At 35.4% G+C, this 5298-nt stretch overlaps 1 long non-coding RNA gene across 1 annotated transcript; it reads right to left on the bottom strand.

Annotated features, from left to right (window-relative positions):
* Positions 1–216: 216 nt before the first annotated feature.
* Positions 217–4919, bottom strand: LOC124901177 (uncharacterized). The gene is made up of 2 exons (XR_007059128.1): positions 4856–4919; positions 217–696 (listed from the first exon to the last, which is right to left on the bottom strand). It is a non-coding gene; the product is annotated as an uncharacterized LOC124901177 (long non-coding RNA).
* Between the last annotated feature and the right edge of the window lie 379 nt (positions 4920–5298).

The following is a 5298-nucleotide window of genomic DNA, read 5'->3' as shown; positions in this document are numbered from 1 at the left end:
TTTTTCTCTATAAAAACATTTTCATCAAAAGGTTTTAATGTGGTTTTTTTGACACTTAGCATTTAATCCACTTAGAATCAACTTTTTTGTGCATTATGAGGCAGAAGAAAATTTTATTTACTGTTTTCTACATTGGTAGCCAATTTCCCCAAAATAATTTAAGTCATCTTTTCTTCCCTGTGTTAATACTGCTCTGAAAATAAATTGCCAAAAATCTTAGTGGTATAAAACAGCACATATTTATTATCTCACAGGTCTATACTATAGGTCAGAAGGTTTATACACAACTGGCCAGACTAAAAGGAAATTGGTGATCTGCTGCATTGTTTCTGGAAGCTCTAAGGCAATTGTTCTTTGCTCTCTGCTGTGGTTAGTAGAGCTCTGTTCTTTGCAGCTATAGGACCAAGGTTTCTGTTTTCCTGCTGGTTCTGTACTGAAGGTAGTTTCCGCTTCTAGAGACAGCTGCGTTGATTGGCTTATGACTACATTTCTCCACCTTCAAAGCCAGACACACAGGGTCAAGTCCTTCTCATATTATATCTTTCTCCCTGGGAAAGATTCTTCTCTTTTAAGGACCGATGGGATTAGATGTAATCCATCAGGATGATGCAGGACAATTTTCCCATCTCAAGACTTGTGACTTTCAGCACACCTGCAACGTCGTTTTGGCCATGTAAGATAACATATTCACAGGTCCTGGGGATGAGAGAATGAAAATCTTTGAGTAGCCATAATTCAGCCTGCCATACCCTTCTGATGGCTTTAAATGAAACCTGTGTGTTACACATAACTTTTTAATATGTGAGTTGGCCTCTCAGGCATTCTATTCCCTTAATTTTCCTATATGAAATCATAGCTGAGAATTTCCTCAAATTGATGAAAAAGCTTAACTCACAAATTGAAAAAGGAACACAGGCCAGGCACGGTGGCTCACGCCTGTAATCCCAGCACTTTGGGAGGCCGAGGGTTGAGGCGGACAGATCATGAGGTCAGGAGATCGAGACCATCCTGGCTAACACGGTGAAACTCCATCTCTACTAAAAATGCAATATATATATATATACATATATATATGTGTGTGTATATATATATATATGTATTAGTCGGGCATGGTGGCAGGCACCTCTAGTCCCAGCTACTTGGGAGACTGAGGCAGGAGAATGGTATGAACCCGGGAGGCAGAGCTTGCAGTGAGCCAAGATCGCGCCACTGCACTCCAGCCTGGGCGACAGAGTGAGATTCCGTCTCGGGGAAAAAAAGAAAAAAACAAAAAACAAAGTAAAAGGAACACAAACCCCAAGTAGGATAAATACAAGTTAAATCATGCCTTAGTAAATCATAGCAAAACTACTGAAAAGCAGAGATAAATAAAATAATCTTAAAAGCATTCAAAATAGAAAGACACGTTAAAGATACACTAATAAAAATGATGGCTGATACAAAAAAATAGATGTCATAGGTAATGGTGTGATATTATTAAAATGCTAAAAGGCAAACCAACAACACAGACAAAACACACCAAACTAAAATTTTATACTTGATATGTTTCCCAAAAATACAAAAAAAAGACATTTTATGCAAGCCAATATTGAAAAAACTGTCGCAAGAACTGCCTTACAAAAAAAAAAAAAAAACTAAAGTGCTTTTTTTAAAACGTGATAATCCCACATTGAATTATGAATCTACAAGAATGAATGAAGAACTTTGGAAAAGGTGAATATGAAAAGAGTCAAGGGCAATCAGAAGAGGGTTATGTGCAACAACAAATCTTGCTTTTGATCCTCTAGACATTATTTACATTTACTATGTTCTTGGTGATCATGAAGCTTGTTATCCATTTCATAAATCAGAAGGAACTGAGCATGTTTCAAAGGACAGTGAGGCTGTTCGGCTAAACCTAATCTAATTCCAAACTTTTTCAGCTTTTCAAATTACATTTTCTGCATCTTGGGGAGAATCAAGTGAACAAATATTGCTGTGGGTTTTGATAATGGGGCCCCAGGAGACCCCACTAAGGTCCCAAAGTGCAACCCCTGCTTCTCTTGCTTCTCCCTCCTCCACGTTGTATGTCTTGAGGACTCTCTTGTTTTCCTCCTCGAGCCTACTCTTGCTCCTATTGCTTCTCTCACTTCCTTCTTTCTGACATGGCCACTTTCTTACTTCTCCATTAATTGCTTCCTAAAAGTGCATGCTATTATCATCCATTGTCATGCTACAGAGAGATGGCTTCCTTTCAGTACTCTGTGCTCTGGACTCAAGGCATCATCCTGATTAGCCTTGTGTCCTAGTGAGCTGGAGTTACTGTAACAAAATACCTTAGACTGGGTAATTCATAACAATGGAAATGTGTTGCTCACAGTTCTGGAGGCTGAAGAGTCCAAGACCAAGACACCAGCAGATTCAGCATCTAGTGAGAGCCCCCTGCTTCATAGATTGTGACTTGTTGCTGTGTTCTCACATGGCAGAACAGACAGAAAGAGCAAATAGCCTCCCTCAAGCCCTCTTACAAGGGCTAAGCTAGTTCATGAAGGTGGAGGCCTCATGACCTAATCACCTCACAAACGGCCCCAGTTCTTAATACCATCACTTTGGGAGTTAAGTTTTAATGTATGAATTTTTGAGGGACACAAATACTCAGACTATAACATCTGGCTTTTTGGCCAGATGCTCTTTACTATCTGTCCCATCTTTTGTCTTGAGATGCTCATATGCTAGGCTAGAAAACGAAAAAAACATGACCCCATGACAGAGGTGCACAACAAGCAACATTCTCCACTGACCACCAGCCAGTGTTCCCAGACAGATGTTTCTGCAAGCTACCTCCTACCTTTGGTGTATTTCTGCCCAGCTAGGTTATGTCTTGCAGGTGTGTGGGGCAACAATTGCTCATTAGAATGGTTGATCGTACTGTCTGAAAAGCCCAACATTGAATCCAAAACTCCTTTTTGATACATTTTCTTTAGTATATCTTCATGTCAAATAGACTCCCAAAAGACTTTTTGGATAGCTCTGTTGCTGGGAGGTGACCCCATCACCACTCATACCACACTTGCCCCTCTGTCAAGAACACTCTCCATATTTCACGGCATCACTCTTAATAGTTTACCACTTAGTGACTCTGCCTTACCTCAGCTGTCATGGCTGGAGGACAACCTTGCCTGCCAATGCCCCTGCATATTTTTTTATGATTTGCTCCCAGACCACCATCTACCTGTTTTTCTCTTTTAACTTCTTAATAGTCACTCCATATTTGTTAATATCAGAATTCCCCAGAAGACTACCAAGAACTTAAATGCAGGGAATCTTTGCTTGTCTGCATTAGCGTGATGCAGGACATCAAGAGGGCCACAAAGAATATTTGTTGAATAAGAAATAAGATAGGAACATTTGGAACAAAGATGACAATGACAATATATTAACAATAATTGTTTCTGGGTGATGGTTACATGTTTGACTGTTATTAATTTGTTGTTTTTCTGTAATTACTATATATACTTCCTTAAATCTATATATAGTATGCATATCGTTTCAAGTATAAGAAAATAAAAAGTGTTCTCATGACTATAATATTTTACTATAGGTTATCTTAAATTAGTCACTTTTTTAAATATTATATCTTGTTTTGTAAATAGCACAAACTGATGTGTTTTTACCTTTCCAGAATCTATTTTATATTCTTAGTTTCTTGACAGAAGATTATTTTTCCCATGTTAACTCAATGGCTTATTAAATTTATAAGGTATCCTTACAGTTATATAAGCAGTCGGATACTCTTTTCAAATGAATAACAAAAGAGCATGATTTGGGCTTATCCTACTTTGCCAATTTATGGTTTTTTTTCTTTTTTTTTTTTTTACATACAGGTGTTAAAATGCCATAACATTTTTCAGTTTTCAAGTAGTTTGAATTGACATTTTCCTTGTATGAAAATATGTAAAAAAAGGTATTAAAATGAATCTGGTTACTAAATTGGCTTTTCTGATAATTATACGAGTTGGCATTTGTAAGCCTAATTCTCCCAAATGTGTGGGTTTTTTAATTTAAATGTCAGCAAAAGTAGTGTCCTATGTAACTATTAAAGCCTAGAATGAAGATAGATATTTAAAAAGAGGTTTTTCACTACTGAATAGACAATGTATTCAGATCATTAATAATTATATTAAAAGCATACAGGGTTTCACATTTATAAATATAAAATTATAAACCCATTAAACACATGTATATATTATCAACAAATTATAGAGCTTGTAGGGTTCCTCCAACAAATTAATGCTTGCTAATTACAATGTTTATTTATGCTTATGTTATATTGATAAGGGAGTATATAGATGTCCTTTTGAGATATTGAGAGATGCATTATTGGCTCTAATCACAGGAAGTCAAAATTGCAAGTAGAGAGAAAAGAATCATAAATTAAGATAAAATTATGTGTTTGGAGTTAGAAAGGCAGGAAAGAAAGGCAAGAGATTTGGTTGGAACTATAGGAGACTAGAGAAATCATCAGCTGCAGTGATGCTGTTGGCACTTGTAATACCTGACTGAAATATAAGTTCTTCTATTCAGGTGGTTCTTGTTTCACAGGTTAAGTATTATCACATTGGGAAATAGGGCTGCCCTGTTCTAAAGATGATAATTTAAGAATATTTGCTAAAATTATGAGTTTAAAATTAGAAGTTGTTTGTTTGAAATTAATAATAATAATTGCAACAGTTAAATGTAACGAAATATTCTAACTTTAAAAAACTAATTTATAATATTGGAAGTCGCTAAAAACACTTGGAACTGTATATTTTTAGAGCCATGTCTTTTGTTCTTCGAATATGGACGTACCCTTGCTGGAAAGTGTCACACTTACTTTTGCTTCTGTCGGTCAAATTAAATCTGTAACATTTCAGGGTTTTAAGAATTATACACTAAATCTGGAATAGAAAAAGGTGATACTTATTAATGGGTATTCATAAGATTTTCAATATGATAATTTTCTCATCCACATTAACTAATATGAAGCCATGGTCTAACAGAAATATATATGAACTTTTTGTTTTATTTTTATTTTTAAAACACAGATTCTTTGTTAGTATGAAACATTTCAATCTTACACGTAGAATCCTTCATTTTTCTTAAGATATTTAAAATCATTTCTGAAAATAAATATGGCTTTCAAAAAGCTTTAAATGTAATTACTTCCCTTTAGTGAGGAAAGGTATTTTTAAGTTTAGTTTATTTTCTGCAGATATATTCAAAATATGAGCTAAATATTAAATCTCTGAATTTATCAGTGAAAACTCATATGCTTCA

The sequence above is a fragment of the Homo sapiens genome, chromosome 5, assembly GCF_000001405.40.
Source record: "Homo sapiens chromosome 5, GRCh38.p14 Primary Assembly".
Taxonomy (NCBI): domain Eukaryota; kingdom Metazoa; phylum Chordata; class Mammalia; order Primates; family Hominidae; genus Homo; species Homo sapiens.
This window is presented reverse-complemented; position numbering and strand designations above follow the sequence as displayed.